This window comes from Homo sapiens, chromosome 11, assembly GCF_000001405.40.
Source record: "Homo sapiens chromosome 11, GRCh38.p14 Primary Assembly".
Taxonomy (NCBI): domain Eukaryota; kingdom Metazoa; phylum Chordata; class Mammalia; order Primates; family Hominidae; genus Homo; species Homo sapiens.
In genome coordinates this window covers 19,892,003-19,911,794 of record NC_000011.10, presented here as the reverse complement: position 1 = coordinate 19,911,794, position 19,792 = coordinate 19,892,003, and the positions used below count along the sequence as shown (strand labels likewise).

Genomic DNA, 19,792 nt, shown 5'->3' with positions numbered 1-19,792 from the left:
AAGCTCCTTGGACAGAAGTTTGGAGTCTTTCCGCCTTTGCTGCAGCTCTGTCCCCCACCAAGAAATTGATTTCTGCCCTGACTGGCTTGGGTAGGCATTCTAGGTCATCCACTGTCTGAGGTCAATTTGGAACTGATGAAGAATTCTTAGAGTGAGGTGACAGGATAAAACACCAAAGAGATTCAGAAAGCCTGGGTTCTGATCCCATTTTGGCCACCGTCCTCTCAATTCTTTCAACAAGGATTTATTGAACATGACAGGCATGCTCCCTGCCCTCACAAAACTTGGAGTCTAGCACCAATTTGCTGGGTAGAATTGAGAGAGTCATTTTGCCTACTTCATTCAGACACCTACACACATATACACACTCAACTTCCCTCTATCATGCCATGTCCCCTTTTACCATCTAGACTTTGGACACGCTGTTCTGTCTAGAATACGCTTTCCTTATTGTATATAGCTAATGCACCTTTCAGCTTAGACCTCACTTCTTCCAGGATATCTTCCTGACTCCTCCAAGATTGGATTGGATGCTCCTTCCAGACATAAATGTCCTATAGACACTTATCACAGGATATTACAAGTGTCTGTTTCTGTGCTACGTGTCCTGTCCCTATTCCAAGCACAGCATCTGGCACATGCTGGGATTTCAGGCACCATATAGCCAACAGAGTTGGCTACAGTTCACTTCCAGCTCACAAATATTTGCTAAGCCCTGTCCTTGCCCTAAATGAAATCAAGACCAAAAAAAAAAAAAAAAAAATGTGCTTGCAAAATGATGATACTGTAAAAGCCAGTGAGACAGGGATTAAGCATTACCTTACACTTAAGGGCATTTTGGGGGAGAAGTGATCATTGTCCTCATAAAAATGAGTTCAAATTATCATGATATTTTTACATGTGGTGTTTGGTTATTTTTTAATTTTATTTTGTTTCGGAGACAGAGTCTCGCTCTGTCACCCAGGCTGGAGTGCAGTGGCACTATCTCGGCTCACTGCAACCTCCGCCTCTCAGGTTCAAGCAATTCTTCTGCCTCAGCCTCCCGAGTAGCTGGGATTACAGGCACATACCACCACGCCTGGCTAATTTTTTGTATTTAGTAGACATGGAGTTTCACCACGTAGCCCAGGCTGGTCTTGGACTCCTGAGCTCAGGCAATCAGCCTGCCTCGGCCTCCCAAAGTGCTAGGATTACAGGCATAAGCCACCGCGCCTGGCTAGTTATGTTTTTTTCTTAACATGCTGATATGTCAGAAAACAAACTCCAGGGCGCCTCTGATTTACAGTGTCCCTATACAGTTTTTCAAGAACTTCATACTCTTCCTTTAAGCTCCAATTCTATATGAACTCTCCTTGCCTACCTTCTCCCAGTCCCTAAGCTTCCACTTTCTTCTCTGAATTTCCATGACTCTGACTGCCTGGACCACTCATCTGGCATTGGCTGGTTTTGTTCATAGTTGCACCTCCAGCAATTTGTACAGCATTTAACATAAAAGAGGGGCTCAATGATTAGTGAATTTAGTAAAAACTAGCTTGTATGATAGCATGAGGGTTAAAAGCAAAATATTAGCTTTGCAATGATGCAGATTCTGGTTCAAATGTCAACACTGGCCCTTAGCTGCATAATGTAGGCCCGTTATTTAATCACTCTGAACTTTAGTTTCTTTATAAAATGGAGATGTTACTACTGACACTTCCTAGTAGTGATGTGAGGGATTAAATGAGACTACGTATGCAAAATACCTAACACACCTCCAGGCACATAATAACTCAATCACCCCACGATGGGCAGTGACTGTTACCATTTTCTTTGTTGTTACTGTTTCAGTGCCCCCTGTCTATTCACAGTCCATTTCCTCACCTATATTATAAGCAGTTATATAAGTTATTATATATGCCTTATAAATAACTTTATAAAGTTATTTATAAGGCAGGCGTTTGTAACATCTGTTGACACACATGGAAGGCTTTAGGATAGTGATGAAGAGGAGGAGGAGGAACATGATGGCAACTATTACTTCGTCTGATGTCACTAATTTGCAACCCTATGGCAGGCTTTTGATTTCAAAAAGAGCAGCCGAGAAGTGGGAGAAGAAAAAGACCAAGCTTGCTCCTGAAGAAATGTGCTTCCCAGAGAGATTCCACAGGACCCCTGGACCACAAACCACAGAAAACCATGAGATGTTTTACAGCCAGGAATCTCCTCCTACTCCCAACTCCCCACCTCTTCCCCAGCCAGGGTCTTTGCTCACTGAGGGTATGGAAAGTGGTTTCTGTGCATTAGGATCAATTGACAACTCAAAGTTACAATCTGTTTTTATCTGGATCAGAGGCAGAAAGATAAACGTCTCAGGCATTACTTAAAATTCCTAGGCCAGCACCAAAGGCCTTCTATCTATGCTGTGGTTCCAGAGGGAATGGCCAGAGTGGGGTGGCCAGTTACCTGCGTCAATGCTCTGTTTACTGCCTGGGTACTCCTGGAATGGGGCACTGTCTAGAATTGGGGTCTCAAAAGGAGGGGGTACATACAGTCCCATCCCATATGAACTAGATTAAAGTTAAATATATACAGGGAAAGGAGGACCAGAAATTCTTTCCTTCAGTATCCTTGATGCAAAATCAATATACTTTTTTTTATCGAGGGGAAACTGAGGTCCAAGAAAGGGGAGACATTTAACCACTAATATTTTGGGGTAGAAGAGCTAGAGTTATAACATCTACTTGAATATGGCATGAACAGAAAGCCATTTTTAAAACCACTATATTGACATATAATTCACATACCATAAATTCATGCATTTAGAGTGATTCAATGGTTTTTAGTATCCTCATACTCATGAAGTTCTCCAACCATCACCACAATCTAATTTTAAAATATTTTCATCATATCAAGAAGAAACTCTAGCAACTCTTCATCCCTCCTCTACTCCCACCCCACAGCCCTAGCAACCACAAATCTATTTTTTGTCTCTATCGATTTGCCTACTCTGGAGATTTCATATAAACGGAATCATACAATATTTGGCCTTTTGTGTCTAGAATGACATTTTTTTAATGACAGACTTCAGCAGCAGACTCACTGGCTGCTCAATGAATAATTTTCTAGAGCTGTGCTGTCAAATACCATATCCACTAGCAAATGTGGCCATTTAAATGAATTAAAATTTACTACATTAAAAATTCGTTCATCCACACTAACCACATGTCAATTGCTTAATAGTCACATGTAGCGCTAGTGGCTACCATATTAGACAGCACAGAGCGTAGGCTATTTCCATCATTGCAGAAAGTACCGTTGGACAGTGCTGCAGAGGATAGAGGCATTTATTTATTAAATACAGACCAGCACTCTGCAAAATGTCTCCTCCTCCTGGTGCTGGAGAGTTACCAGTGAGGATGAGGAAGAGGTTAACGGAGGAAGGAGGGAGTGAACGGGTGGGCCAAGAAAAGCTCAGTATACCCTCCTCCCACCCCACCACAGTGTTACTTCCAGTGCCCTGAGAGCTCCCACACCCACCCTGGACCTCAAAAGCTCTCTGTTTAGTTAAGCTCATCCAAAAGGCAGATATGCCAAAGCCTCTGGAAAGACTTCAAGGAAGCCAGCCTCTACCTTAGCCGTTTGATGATTTCTGAAGCGTTACATCTGAGAAGGTGATCTGAGGGGCTCCTTAATGAGACTGAACAGTTCTGATCAGTTTCCGGCCAGCAGTGGCCATTCCGGTTGCCAAGATCATAAGTGCTAATGCTGACTAACACCTCAAGGCCAGAGCCAGGGCATCTTGGCATGCTCAGACTGAAGGGAACACAGAAAGCTCCCTGCTCCTTTCCTGGGGGCTGCCTGGGAGTTCAGCTACAATGTCTTTCCTCTAATCTGTCCAAAGACACTGTAGTCACCAGCCCCCAGCAATGGGGCAGCAAGTTGCAAATTGTGGGTCTGGATGCATTAAGACAATCAGAGCACCCAGACTGAGGGATGATAAAAAACAAAAGGAAAAATAAAATCATATTCAGAGAAAAGACCTTTGATCCTTCACCTATCAGAGTACTTTGTTCCAAAACACTGTGGAAAAATAATCAATTCTGACTTTCAAACATTGTTTTATAGGAATATAATTGGCTAATTTCCTTTTGTTTAAAACTCCGCCAAAAGATGTATCTTCTTTCGTCTACTTTAGCCAATTTATAAAAAAGGAAAGGACCACCTAACAAATGCTTCTTTCAGTGTTCACTAGTTTCAATCAATACTTCTGTCTCAAATTCCCCCTCCCCCTATGAGTGGCAGTGGGGGAATTTCAAGAATCAATAAGTGACATTTCTAAGACACCAGGAGCAAAAGATAACAGGGTGGATATTTACCAAACTATGTCAAGTGTGCATTTGCTAAAAGTCGTCCTTTCAGTGAAGGTCATTCAGTGTTTCTTGGTCCCTTGGTTTTCAAAAACACTTTTCATCACGGTTTATCAGAGAGAGAGGAGGATGAGCAAGAAGAGGCGGCTACAGGGGTGCTTCAGACTTTTGATCTGAAGCAACAGACCAGGAGTGGAGAACTGGCTCTCTGAGGTTCTCAGTTCAGCTGCTGTGGTTACTTTCCCCTTTGTAGTCATTTCTGACTTTTGGACACTTATGAAATCATTGATTCAACAAACCTTATATACACAATTTAGGGTATTTTTCTGTATGGTTTCATCTCACGGAAACCGTACAATAACTTTATGTGGTTGGTGCTATCCTCATTTCCATTTTAGAGCTGAGGAATGTGAAGTTCAGAGGTGTTAAATGACCCATCAAAGCCACACAGCCATCAAATAGAGTTGCTGGGACCAGACCCCAGGTGTCCTGAGCCCAAGTCTGACATTTGGATCATCTTCATCACACAACAACTTTTGCCAGTTGGTGTGGGAAAGAGAAAGCAGAGAAGTGTAGGCCTGTGAATACCAAGAATCCCAAAGGCTGGAGAACAGACTCAAGTGGAGTAAGACCTGTTTTGCGGAGTTCTACTTTAACAGCTGGTTCCTACCTTCTTTCCTTGGCCACAGGGGCCTCATAAAGCAAGTGGTGCTTGTGCCCCTTCACCGACCTGCCAGCATCTGCTTCTTAGAGACACCTTCTATGGGACTGGGGTAACCAAGGATGCTTTGGCTGCTCTCCCCCGTGAGTTCTTAGAACTACATGCCCCTATAACTTATAGGAAACTGCAAGTATGTCTTAGTACATCTTAAATGAGCTCAGTGCATTCTCATTTTCATGCAACTACAGTGGAAAGAGACTATTACCTTGACAACTGAAATCAATCCATCAACACAAATTCACTGGGTGCAACCTGTTTATTGTGGTAGATTGATTACAAAAACAGCCCCTAGTGTCCACCCCTCTCTGTGCCATGTACGCTTTGCAATGTGACTTTGCAGCTCCTCCTTCAGTAGGTGGAATCTGTTTCCCAATCACAAGAATTTGGGCAGGTCACGTGACTAGGTTTGGCCAACAGAATGAAGACAAAAACTGGTGTCCTCTTTCAGAGCTTAGGCCTCAAAGGGCCTTGTACATTTCAACTCTCTGCCTTCGAACTCACCTACCACCAGAAGAATAGCTTAGACCAGACTGCTGGGAGATGAAAGACCATGTAGAGAATTCTGAGTTGTCTCACCTGAGGCCATTACAGACCAGCCAGCATGCAGTCAATGTGCCAGATGCCCTCAGACATAGGAGCAGGCCCAGCCGAGACCCCCTGAAGCTGGTGCACCTTAGCAAGACCGTCCCATCAGCCTTGGGCTTGTAAGAAATCATACGTGGCTATGATTTGAAAACATTCATTTTGAGGGGCTGGGAAGATAGGGGTGAGTAAGGCACCTGCTTCACCAAACTTATCAAGGTGAGAGGGTCCAAAAAAAGGTTCGCTCCCACAAGTTTTATTATTATCTATTTCCTAGGCAGTAACAGGTTTGAAGATGTTCTGGGGGAGGTAAACACTACTTGTGTTGGAAGGTATGAGCCTGAAATGGTTCAAATTGTGGCTAAAAGAGCAAAAGCTTGGAGTCAGGTGACCTAGGTAAGAATCCTTGCCCTAGCACATATGTCCTATATGGAAAAGTCCCTCTCCCTCACAGGTATTCACTGGTTTTCACTCCAAGCCAGATGAATTTAACATAAGCCAAATTAATCCTGGCCCCCTAAGAAGGTTCATTACTGAAGGTCAGAGCCTCATTCATGCACGAACAATAGGACAGACTGAATGAGTCTCTAGTATACAGAAATAGTTAAAAATAGGGCCCAGTTTCTTCCCTACAAGGTCGAAATTACTGGCTCTTCCTGGACTCTGTCCCTGGTTTTCCTTAATGAATACTGCCCCCTACAGCATGTCAGTGAAATAGATTTTTTAAAAAATAATTTGCATGAACATTCCTATCTGGCTCTTAGATGAGGGCAAGGAATTATCCAAGTGTTAAATGGTGGAAACCACACATGTGACTTCTCATGAAGTAGCCATGATTTCTTCTGTGTGGCACCCATCCTTGCCTGTGAACTCTCTGATGGCCTCTGAGCATGAACTTGGCAAGTTCAAGACAATTTAAGTGAAGTTAAGGGAGAAATCTTCTCAAGAATGTGAATGGAGTAAAAGAGGTCATCACAAATGCACACAGGCATATCCACGTAAGATGCAGCCTTTTTCCAGCATACAAATGAATCCTAGAGTACAAGTAGCACCCTCAAAAATAAAGCTCATTTTTGGAATGAATGAATACTTTTAAGGGAACCAATCCAAAGGTGGGGTTTTGGGAACTCTAATAAACTGTGGGGATATGTGTGAAATTACTGAGGTGGAGGAGACTCTTCCAGAACAAATCACACCAACTTTACCCTTGCCTGGGGTAATTAAATGCTAGATTTGCAAGCAATCTGAGAGAAAATCTATTCCAACCTACCGGCTATTGTAAGAAACCTCACCTGTAGCATCCCTAGCAAGTGATATTCCAGCCTCTATTTGAATACCTCTGGGGTCAGGGAACTCACTACTCTCAAGAGAGCCTATTCAACTGTGAGAAGACAAATGTGAAAAGTTCTTTTCACAATATACATATGGAGCCAAAGTTTGCCTCCCTGTATTTTTTTTTTACTTTTACTCCCTATGTCCAGAGAGAGAAGAAAAAAGCTAGTTCAGGATATAGATCTTCATTTGTGCAAGGGAACTGGTTTCTGTCCATAAAACTGTTTTCAAAAACATCCTTTATTTCCAACCATTGTGTGGGAGAATGGGGATCATGGGCACAATGGACCCTGCAAACTTTGGCTATGGGTCTCACCCTGAAGAGGTTGTACCTAGTCCAGAGAATTAAGTTTCTACCTAATCCAGAGAATTAAGTTCATTCATAGTACCCCTCTTTTTTTTTTATAAGACCAGTTACCACAAAATGTAATGATACTGTTTGCATTTGTTTACTGTCTCTTCCATCAGACTTTAAGTTCCATGCAGGCAGAAATAATCTGCTTTTTCACTTTTGAATACTCAGTGACTGGCATAATGCTTGGTACATAGAAGACATTCAATAAATAACCTCAGACACATGAATATATGAAGGACTGAATTCCAAGTACATGAATGTATAATAAATAAGGGAGAGAATCATTTATTCCACACTATACAGTCTGGTTTAGAATTATTTGCCTCTTAAAAATGGAACCAAATCTAGCATAACCTTTTTGCAGCAAAAATCAACTAGTGCCTTCAAAAATCCTTCTCCTTAGGGCTAAACCTGATCCTTGAATCCACCAGCTGGCTGCCTGCCCAAGTGAGTGGGTGGACGGCTTTGTGAAGACCAATTTTAGCTCAGGCCTGCTGTCAGTTCCTCACCACTCAAGAGAAAGTCTTTCCACTAGGCCACATGAACCTGATCACACCCACACTGTGGGTTTTCTCCATTTCACATACATTCTCCTAAATTGAGGAAACAAATGTGGGGAGGCCCTGTCTGGAAGAAAGCATTTAGACAGTCTGCAAGTTATTATCCTCCCAAGCACAGTGCCTGAGAATGCCAGGCTAGAAACCAAGGATCCTCTAGGAAACACACACAAAACTTGGGCAGTAGGGGGCAGCAGTGACTTACAGTCCTAGGCTGTCCTGGAGCCAAAGGACTTTTTTTTTTTTTTCTTAAACTTTTCTTTTTCCAAGCTATGTAATTATAGCTTCCCCACTCCACATTTAGATTTCCCACTCCACATTTCAGAAAAATGCTGTGATTCTCCAACTCTGAAAAAGGCAAAGGGAGCATTAGATGTTAAGAGGCTGCCTTTACCTTTGCTCTTATGAAGGAAGCAGGCCAGGCCATTGATTTCCATCAGCAGTTGTTATCTGTGCATTGTCCACAAAGTTTGGGGAGCCTTGCCATCATAAAAACAAGCATAACCACTGCTAAGGAATCATGGCAGGAGCTCCTAGGACACTAAGAATGTGAACTGTGTCCATGAGGCCTTGGCACAAACCACCGTGTAGCATGACCATTCGTCCACAGGGTGTGACACCTGCAAATGGCCCATGTGTCACTCTCACCACCAAGTAGATATACCATGACCATTGTCTCAAATATTCTCATTGCAACCCCGACACCTTCATCAGGAGAAGACGGCTCCCTGGCACGTGGGCTACACACTGGTACCCTAATGAAATGCACACGTTGATGGAATCACAAAGGCAAGCTGCAGCTAAGAAACAAGCACTTTATTTGCGAGAGTCACTGAAGCCTGAGGATGTCATGTCCTCGGCCCAGAGAGGCAGCCAAGTGCACATTCACAAGAAACTCCTCAGTAAGTAGTTGCAGCTACATGAGCTGCCAGGCTTTACTGTTCAGGGTCTCTCTCCTCAGCACTCCATGCTTGCACTTCACATTGTGAACATGGGCTACATATGCTCACAGAAATGTTAGTTTCATTTATCCCAAAATATATGTATCTTCTCATGCTGTTGAACACTGTCAAATACCTAAACTTGGAGGACATAAACTTTTAAAGCGGACCTTAAACTAAGGGATGACCGAACTAAGTCCTGACTACAGATGAGAGCTTGATAAAAATGACTATTATGAGAGCACCCAGAAAGGTAAATACTTCTCCCTCCCAATGATCCTTGAAATGAAACTGAATTCATGTATGTGTGATAGTTTCCACGTAACAGATGGAAGCAAGAGAAATGCTGAGATTTATCATCTGAAGATCGGATGAACATCAACTAGTCATTTTCAATTCCTGAGACAAGACTAATCAAATAGATCTTTCATCTTTCCAAATGATATATTTTCTCTTTTTCTCTACTCCTTGTTACAAAAAGCCAGGTTTATTGTATTTTAGAGAAAGGATATATAGCAGAACCATAAGTTCACACATTGGTTTTGAAATGTATCCATATTTAGAGACAAACAAACATGGTGGCATTCTTCTTCTCTGTGAAAAAAGGATGGCTTCAGCATTAAAGGTTATTAGTTTCACACATTAGAGGGATTTTTGTGTCTCCTCTTCTGAAGGCTCTTTTAAATTACACAGTAGATCAAGAAAATGACTCCCAAAGGGGGCAAAAGACTGCACTGGATACAATTTCTTTCACCTTGATGTTTGACTGTAATGCTTGAGGTTAAGGACAAAAGCTAGGGTGGAGTAAGGGCAGTTGGGCACGTCACTCAGGTGCCTCTCTAGGCAGCTTTAATAGTGCTCGCCCTTCCTCTGAACAGGACAGTGCTCTCCTCCACATAAAGTACCACCAAGCTCTGCAAGTGCCAAGGAGACAAAGAGCTAAAAGATGATTCTCCAGCTAGGGCAAGGTGAGCCAACTTCTCCCTCAGAGCACCTCTTTGTCTTGTATTCCCTCTGCTTCCCTATTTAGACCTCAAAGGGACACTTTCTTTTTAATATTGCCAGTCTAAGGAAGAATCTGTTAGCTTAGCAGAAACAAGACAGCAATGAAAATGTAAAAATGAAAAATGCAAGAAAGAACTTTGCTAAAGGTTAGTGAGGCAATAGCACAAAGCCAAAAGAAAATAAGACCTATGCAAGTAGTTAAGTCTACCCAGTGTAAGTTGCTGGTTCTGAGAATAAATTTCAATATGTATATGACAAAATGTATACATACATTTAAATGATTCCCCATTTATTAATCTCCTGCTATGTGCTAGGCATTTGTCTGGGTGTCTTACTATATTACCTCCATTCCCCATAACAATGTACTACAAAGTAGTTGTTGAGAATTAAAGGGCAATTAAAAGGGAGTGTTCTCTTTTCTCGCTCTGTTGCCTAGGAGGAAGTGCAGTGGTGTGATCTCGGCTCACTGCAACCTCTGCTTCCCAGGTTCAAGCGATTCTCCTGCCTCAGCCTCCCACTTAACTGGGACTACAGGCGTACGCCACCACACCCAGCTAATTTTTGTATTTTTATTAGAGACAGGGTTTTGCTCTGTTGACCAGGCTGGTCTCAAACTCCAGACCTCAAGTAATCCTCCTGCCTCAGCCTCCCAAAGTGCTGGGATTACAGGCGTGAGTCATCATGCCCGGCAGGCAGTGTTCTCTTTTAAAGGTAACCAAGAAGTCCTGCTAAAACTAGGGTTCTCAAGCTCCAGTGCCTTAAGATCTCATGGGTGTGAAATGTAAACTTCTAGGCTTTTATTCAAAAATATGAATTAGAAGGACTCAGTTTGTAATGCCTGGGGATTTGTCTTTTTAGCAATTACCTCAAGGGATGATGAGATGGCTCATGAATCACACCTTGAGAGACAACAGTCTAGAGTTTTAATTGGATTATGCAAAAAATGAGAAAGAATGCTTCACATCTAACTTTCTCCCAACATTAGGGCTATAGAAGCCTGTTGCCACTTCAAAGATAAATCAACTGAATCTCTGAGAGGTAAGATAACTTGCTGTTGGAAAAGGATTAACAAAACCCTTTCCTCTTTTGGACGAGAATTTGACCTTGGGTTAACTTGCTAACTGTTCCCCTGGAAATGTGATAAAGATAGAATGCCCACTATATTACTAAGCACATTGCTTATGGTAAAAATGACACATCTGGATGGGAAAAACCATAAATGAGGTATAAATACTTCCTGAGGACACCATCATTTTGAGCTTCTCTGAGTTCTATGACAATTGATTGGGCCTAATCCTTGTGGGAACCCTAGAATTTATACTTATGGGGCTGTTACATACTCCCTTGGGGTATGTGACTTTTAAGCTGGATGGACTTGTGCACCTGCCCTATTCAAGTCTTATTCCCTCACACCTGAGCTGTTACCTGGGAATGCAGGGGTACAGCACTAGAATGGTGCTAAGCATGGCCTGTGATGGTCTTTTGAGGGTCATCCTGAGCAGATGCATTGGTGACCATGACATTTGGCCAGAGCCATACTTCTGGGAAGCGGCAGAGCCAATACTCAAACACAGTGGTCTGCCTTCACGGTACTTGCATTCTCTTTGATTGCAAGGCCCCAAAACTCCTCTCCTGAGATAACTGAACACTGGCCCCGAGACTTTGATACAACTTCTTGTTTATTCCTCCAGTGATCTGTGAAGTCCCTAAATTTGGCAGCATCTAATCCATCCTGCCTACTTAGCCTCAACAGGTGGTCTAACTGGTCACTGAGTTCCATTCCAGGCAATATCCCAGAGAATTCTTTAAATTCAATGATGCCACCTTGGTTCACACCTCTAGGTTGGCTTTCTAAGCCCTTTGACAACTATGGGTACTAGCTAGAAGGTCATAATAACATCACAGCTGATTCCCAAAAAAAGATGGCTATCACCCACTCTAACCAACCGACACCTAAGCTCTCCCTGGCCTGGGATAATAGCTCCAGCAATGACAAAGATCTCTTGATGACCAAGGGAGGCCCTACCCCACCACAGAAATGATCTTGCAGAAGTTTACACTCTACAAGCCCTCCATAGAATATGAGTTGAATAACACAGTGAACCCAGCAGATTTGCTGTCAGATTAACACCCAGATCAGGAAGGGCAGGACAAGTCATTCTTTCCCAGCCTTCCTTTTCTCTAAGCAAAAATTTTGAAATGGAAATCAATACAAATGATATCACTTCTCGGAAGTCCTCCCTGAGTCTTCCCAGCTATGTTCATCTTTTTCCTCACAACTTTGAGCCTCTCTCTATTATAGAACACGTGAGCATCATTCCTCTCTGAGACTGTGAGTCCCTGGGAAGCAGAGTCTGTGTCTCAATTCTGCCTGTCACGACAACCAGTCCAGTGCTGGACAGATAGTAAGTGCTCTATAAATGATGATGAAATGAACAAATGAAGAAAGTAACCTGAAACAGGCCACCCCAACTGTACTTTTGTCTGCATGACTTGGATGACTGAATTAATTTCATCTAGTCTAACCTGTAATTTTATGTCAGAATCCTGGTTAATAGCAGGACGTGGGCAACTTTTCCATGGTTACATCTAATCACCAGCTCAGATAAATAACTTGGTTTGCCAACCATAAAGTGACATGTTTATAGAGATTCTAAATCAATGGCCCCAAAGTTACTCAGACATGACATAGTGCTGAAGGTTATAAAATTCTGTCTCGAGCCATGTCTGGCTCTTCTCTTCTGCTCATGACAAGGAGTGAACAAAGAGGAAGGGAATGACACAGAACAAAAACTAGAGGAGGAAACCCACCAGAAAGCATGGATCACGGATGGCGCTCCCATCAGATGAGGTGCAATAGCCAGCGCCAACTGAAGAATTCATTCACACCTCACGGTGGTTTAGTGATGGAGGACCTCAGACTCACAGAGGGGAAACTGAGTCTGGAGAAGTATCTTGAGAGTAGAAAGTTTGACCTCAAACTCAAGTGCTTTTTTGTACTATGTTAAGGCAACTGGTTGTCAAAGCAGTGTCAGTAAACAAGTCCAGTTTTTATCAAATGGTCTTGTTATTTCAGCTTCTTAAAATAATTTGCCTCATTTCAAAAGAATGAAAGTATTTTTTGCCGAAGACAGTGATAAAAGTGCTATCAAGTATGTAGAGAAAGTAGCCCTCTCATATCTTGTTGATGGGTATATAAATAGGTATAATCTTTTGGGAGCAAAATTTGGAAGTATTAAGGAAACTATGCATACCCTTTGATACAGCAATTACACTGAAATGGTTATATACATGTAAAAAACATACAAGGATATTAATTTCAGCACTATTTAAAACATCAAAAAATTGGAAACAACATAAATGAAAGTGATTAAACGATATTGTGGTAAATCCATACAATGGAATATTATGTGACTATTAGGAAGAAAGAATGACCTATGTGCACAAACGAGAAAGGCTGTCCATGACTTCATGATTTCATTTAAAAGATTTTGAAAGTAATATCAATGTGTGTACGGGTACAGAGCTTCTGAAGAATAATTACTTATAAAGCACTTTCTAAGAAAATTTTATCTGTCAAAATGTGATCATATGTGCATAAAATATGGAATAATATAAACAAAGTGATAAACAGTGGCTAATCTAGGAGGTGGGGCTATGTAGGGTTCTTTGTCTTTGAATACATTTCTATGTTGTTTGAATATCTTCCATTATTTTTGTAACGAAAATCAAGATGTGCTTTCTGTAAAATGAAGAAAACCGTATTATTCAGAAGAAAGTATCTTCTATATGCATGTAAGTCAGTCTAGGAATACCAAATGTTTCAAATTCATAATATGGACCAAATACTTTAGAAATGTACTAGATCCCAGGCAGTGTTAATTTATTCAAAGGATGTGAGAGGACAGGAAGAGAAAACACGTAATATCACAAATATTTAAAAAGACAGCTATTTCTTTGCCCCTGAAAATCTGTGATTCTGGTCTGGAGCCCTAGGGCCACTTGGAGTCAACAGAAGTGAGTAGTCTTCCTGCGGGCAAATCTGCTCACATATATATATATATATATAAATCACAGGTCAGGCACAGCTGTGGCTCATTGCTGCTTGCAGGAGAGAGAAAACGAAATCAAAGGCAAATCTAACCATGATGGCAATGATGATACAACAAACAACTTGCAGGTTTTCCTAAAGGTTCTGCAGACTTTCCTCCAAACCTCACAGGCAAAATCTGAGATCAGTCTTTGGGAAAACTAGTAGGTTATGTTGCTGTCCAGGAATATTTTTGTTTTTTATACATGAACTGTGTACTTGGTCACCACCTTATGGAACAAGTGAATGAATTTCATGGGAGTCTCTAGGCCTTTTCTAGCTAAGAAGTATTATATACTATCACTTTTTCTTTAGCTTCATGTCTCAGTGGGTTGTTCTGTGTAACCAGAACTAAATTCAGTGATGATGGTAGGAGGGGGCATGATTTTAAGATAAATTCTTTAGGATTTCCCTACAAAGCATAAAGTGCTCTATGGGTTTTGAAAAGTTGCCTGTTACAATTTTTAATTCCCTTTTTTTTTAATTACACTTTAAGTTTTAGGGTACATGTGCACAACGTGCAGGTTAGTTACATATGTATACCCGTGCCATGTTGGTGTGCTGAACCCAGTAACTCGTCATTTAACATTAGGTATATCTCCAAATGCTATCCCTCCTCCTCCCCCCACCCCACAACAGGCCCCGGTGTGTGATGTTCCCTTTCCTGTGTTCATGTGTTCTCATTGTTCAATTCCCACCTATGAGTGAGAACATGCGGTGTTTGGTTTTTTGTCCTTGTGATAGTTTGCTGAGAATGATGGTTTCCAGCTTCATCCATGTCCCTACAAAGGACATGAACTCATCATTTTTTATGGCTGCATAGTATTCCATGGTGTATATGTGCCACATTTTCTTAATCCAGTCTATCATTGTTGGACATTTGGGTTGGTTCCAAGTCTTTGCTATTGTGAATAGTGCCGCAATAAACATATGTGTGCATGTGTCTTTATAGCAGCATGATTTATAATCCTTTGGGTATATACCCAGTAATGGGGATAGCTGGGTCAAATGGTATTTCTAGTTCTAGATCCCTGAGGAATCACCACACTGACTTCCACAATGGTTGAACTAGTTTACAGTCCCTCTTAATATTTTTTAAAAATTGGGACTAAATGTTGAAATATTTTTGTCACTTACTGACAGAATAATGAAATTCTAATTTAACTTACTGATGTCATTAGAACAATTCCTCCGAGTGAAATTCTTAGGTCAACGGGGTCACACATTAAAGCCTATGAATTGCAGGCTATGACATGGATGACCCTTGGGGACATTATGCTAAGTGAAATATGCCCATTATTTATATTATTCCATATTTTTATGCATATCCTATCACATTTTGATAGATAAAATTTTCTCAGTGTTTATTTTCCAAGCAGTAAAGTGCTTTATAAGTAATTATTTAATTCTTCAGTAGCTCTGTCCCATACACAAAAAGACAAATGCTGTGTGATTTCATTCACATGAGGTATCGAGAGTTCTCACTCATAAAAACAGAGAGTAGAATAGTGGTTGCTAGGGGCTGCTGGTGGGAGGTGGTGAAGGAGAGTTATTGTTTAATGGGCACCGAGTTTCAATTTTGCAAGATGAAAAGGTTCCAGGCATTGGCTGTACCACAATGTGAATATACTTAACATTATTGATTAAAATGGTGAAGAGGGTTAATTTTATGTTATAGGTATTTTGCCACTACTTTTTGAAAAAGTAGTCTATGAATTGGCTCACCTGAGAGTGCAATGCCAGATCCTGACACAGTCAGAGTCTGACTCACTTACAGGAAGGCTTCGGTGAAGGAGCAGGGGTGATGGGATTACATCACGGACTTTACCTCACCTGAAAACAGTCCACACCTCAGCTACAGCACCCACCACAACAAACTGTGGCTTATCTGTTCACAAGAGCGTCCCTCCCCGAGACAGAACTCAAGGTGAAGGACAAGAGGTGACCTCATCCAGGTACCTGTTGTGTCTTACCCGGGTGGTTATTTCACTCTGCATGTGGGCTGGCTACCTCAGGAGCTGCAATCAACAGGTCAGACTCAAGGGAAACCAAGGAAAAAGGTGAAGGAAATGCAGAAGTTTCTGAAAGTAAACTTCCACTGGCTTTTTACCTCAGGATGGTTGAAAAAGTTAGTATAAAAAAAAACCTGGGACAGCCCAGGGTAGGAGAGAGAATAAATGCACCCTTCTACAGACTGGGACCACCATCAGTTATTTTTATCATTGTGAATCCTCACAGGAGTTTTCCATCGTCACAGCTCACATAACACTCTCACAGGTACCTTATCCTCATAACAGACCTCCCCAAGGACAGGAAGAAGCCAGAGTTTGAATCCCCGAGTGGAACCTGGATACAATTCCAGTGCTTAGTTACCAGCGAGGGCAAGTTACTTAATTTCTATTAATCTCATTCTCTCTGCCTGTAAAATTGAGTTAACAGTATTTACCTCACAGAATATTTGTAAAGATCAGGTACCATACTGAAAATCAGGCCAGGCGCAGTGGCTCACACCTGCAATCCTAGCACTTTGGCAGGCCGAGGCGGGCAGATCACTTTTGTAGTGATCTGTAGTGGAGTTAGAGACCAGCCTGGCCAACATGGTGAAACCCTATCTCTACTAAAAATACAAATATTAGCTGGGCATGGTGTTGCACACTTGTAATCCCAGCCACTTGGCAGGCTGAGCTAAGACTGTGCCACTGCACTCCAGCCTGATTGACAGAGTGACACTCTGTCTCAAAAAAAAAAAAAAAAAAAAAAAGAAAGAAAAAGAAAAAGAAAAGAAAGAAAATCAAAGTTCCTGGCATATAATATGCACTTAATAAATAAGTATGATAGCCGGGCACAGTGGCTCACGCCTGTAATCCCAGCACATTGGGAGGCAGAGGCGGGCGGATCAACTGAGGTTGGGAGTTCGAGACCAGCCTGACCAACATGGTGAAACCCCGTCTCTACTAAAAATATAAAATTAGCCGGGCGTGGTGGCACATGCCTGTAATCCCAGCTACTAGGGAGGCTGAGGCAGGAGAATCGCTTGAACCCGGGAGGCGGAGGTTGTAGTGAGCCAAGATCACACCACTGCACTCTAGCCTGGGCAACAAGAGCAAAACTCCATCTCTAAATAAAAAAATAAGTATGACTTCCCTTTCTTTCTTCTGACACTAAAGTCTTTCCCTGGGGCATTGCCTCTACTGGAATTTGCACCATGGTCCTTTAAGGGGCCTCGTTGTTCTCAGGCTGCTCAGAGCAGATATGGGAGCCTTTGCCCAGGGCAGGGTCAGGTCAGTCACTGTCCTAGCATTGGCGGGCACACCCATAGGCAGCTGTAGAACACAGTATACTTCTATACCTGTTAAATCCACCAGGAACTTTTATCTTTATTTTCTCAATTTTTTGGACTTGAGTCTCACATCCATCTTTCAGACTCTTTTATGATAGCTTCTCCCCAAATGAGTATAGGGCAAGGGCAGACTGGCCCGCGAGGAGAGGCCCAGCGCAGGCTTTTCCTAACACCTTCCCAACTTTCTCCTCCTGTGCCAGTCAACCAGCCCTCAACAGGCGAAGCTTCAAGCATTTGTTTCCCACTTCCAGGGAAAGCACGGTATTAATCATGGTTCTGAAACCGAAGTGCCTGGGTTCAAATTCAACTCCATCTCTCACTATCCCTGATATGACTTCAGCAAGTACTTAAACTTTCTTTGCTTTAGTTTCATCTTTCGTAAAATAGGGGTAAAATAAGACACATGGTAGGTACTCATAAAGTTTAGCTTTTACACATCAATGTAAAAACACAAAACTTTCTGTTACATATATATATACACACACAAATACATATATACATACACATATATGCATTGTGAAAGTTATGGATGGATATATATAGAATGGTGTATATTTGTACTCTAAGGAGAATATGCAGGAGAACTTTTATCTGATACTTGTACCATTTTACAAGCATATATTATTTTTGTAACCTAAGCACACTTAAAAAACACACTGGTACGGTGAAGAAAAGGAAAGTGGGAGAGAAGAGGGCAAGGAAGCAGGAAAGGAGAGAGAGAAGAAGAGTAACAATGGTTGCTTGAGGCAGAAACTAAGGGCTGGATGACAAAGTCTTGATAGGTTAAGACATCCTGGTGATGGCGTTAGTGCCATTTGCAGAGTTCCCAGTGCCTTGGCTGGGAAACCTTTCTCCATACACATCTGTCAGCCCTGTATACATTTCCTTCATATGTAGGGAGGAAAAGATAGAGTGATTAGCAAACTCTTGGGGGAACTCAGTTCCACTGCATCAAGTGACTCTGAGTTAGAGGAGAAAATGGCGGCGGTTCCCAGCTCATTCACAGTAGGAGGGCTGCCCATGTCCCTGGGGCACTTTAGGGAGTGAGGGGGCAGCTTTCCTGGACGTCAGGGAAATAGAGAAACACCACGTAGACAGCCCTAGGAATCTTCTACACCACCAGGTAGGAAATGCTTCCAGGAGACCTGGACATATTTCCTAAAGATGTCTAGACTACTTTGCCTAGAAGGAATGAAGGAAGGCTCTGCCTCTTTTTGAATAATCTTTGAAACTACCTTAGTTTCTCCAATGTCTCAAGAGATAGAGGCTGAAACAAGCAAAGGTTTGTTTTACTACATTCTGGGCAGCACCCCCATGGGACTATTCACTATTTTTCTCCATCCTAAAAACTCAGTACTGTGTATAGTAAAAAAAAAAAAAAAATCCATATCCTTTTATGGCAAAAGTTACATCATCACAACTCCTAGAGCAATGCTGTCCACTCCTTATATGTAGCCAAGATCTTCAATGAGCCAATCCACATTCCTGACTTTTTCAAAGGGTGAAAAACCTCTTGTTCCTAACTCCCCTCACATTATTTCTGACGGATAAAAAAGCTTATCACAGTTCACAAAATGCATGCTCCAAGAAGCTTGCATTTCTGAAAAACTACTTAATATATGGAACATATTCCATGAAAATTTATTTTCAAATTCCAAATGCTATATTGCTTCTATGCATAGCCGGGTGTCTATGGGGCCCCACCCAAACAAAGATAGCAAATTATTTTTGCTAGTGACTATAACAATATTTTCCCCCACTTTATTAATACCTCTGGCTACTAAAGTTCCTGCCTACCAAATATGTCCTTGTAACTCATTCTCAACACAGATGCAACCCCTCCCCATGACCCAACCCAATTCACCCGAAGGAACTAGGTAGATGTGCTCTGAAGGAAAATACCAAAAAGGCTCCTCAAGAAGGTGACTCACCTTTCTCGTGGCTGCTTGGCGGTGGGGGTGGGGAGGTGACTGGTTTGGATTTATCATAGTTGTTAAAGCTCTGGCTGCGTCGGTTGTTAGCAGTAGTTGACCCTCCGCGTGTTTTGGCCTCGCTGCCTGCAGCGGATACCCTCGCGGTAGGACCTGGAAGTCTAAAATGCAAAAGCAACAGGATAATGCATTCAGTCTCAGAAGAATAACAGTGTGTAGGAAGAAGGAACTGCAACCATGCAGGAGGCAAAAGAAACTATCCAAGACATTGTGTGGAGGTTTGCCAGTCACAGAATTTGGTGGAACCATTACAAACATGTAGGCAAGTAATGACCCCAGCAAAGTCCAACAGCAAAATGTGAAGTTTCCCTTTGAGCAGAGAGAAAAATTTTGATGAAGAAATATGTTTGTGGATTAAAAATACAAAGTTCAACATGGCAAAACCCCATCTCTGCTAAAAATGCAAAAATTAGCCAGGCATGGTGGTGGGCACCTATAATCCCAGCTAATTGGGAAGCTGAGACAGGAGAATCAGTTGAACCTGGGAGGCAGAGGTTGCAGTGAGCTAAGATCACGCCATTGCACTCCAGCC

The 19,792-nt window shown here is 42.0% G+C and overlaps 1 protein-coding gene across 46 annotated transcripts in view, besides 1 other annotated feature; it reads right to left on the bottom strand.

Annotated features, from left to right (window-relative positions):
- NAV2 (neuron navigator 2) overlaps positions 1-19,792 on the bottom strand; it is a 776,366-nt gene that overhangs the window by 209,807 nt on the left and 546,767 nt on the right. For all 46 annotated transcript variants that reach the window (XM_017018520.3, XM_047427824.1, XM_017018522.2 and 43 more), the window contains one exon: positions 19,201-19,361. In XM_017018520.3, the coding sequence (XP_016874009.1) occupies positions 19,201-19,361 (161 nt within the window). The remainder of the gene's footprint in view (positions 1-19,200; positions 19,362-19,792) is intronic.
- Positions 18,567-19,766: an enhancer, noted in NCBI's record as "CDK7 strongly-dependent group 2 enhancer chr11:19913575-19914774 (GRCh37/hg19 assembly coordinates)". NCBI's record gives its function as "activates an origin of replication core promoter dependent on BRD2, BRD4, P300/CBP, MED14 and CDK7 cofactors, with strong dependence on CDK7, by STARR-seq in HCT116 cells {active_cell/tissue: HCT116}" and the evidence as "EXISTENCE:reporter gene assay evidence [ECO:0000049][PMID:35650434]".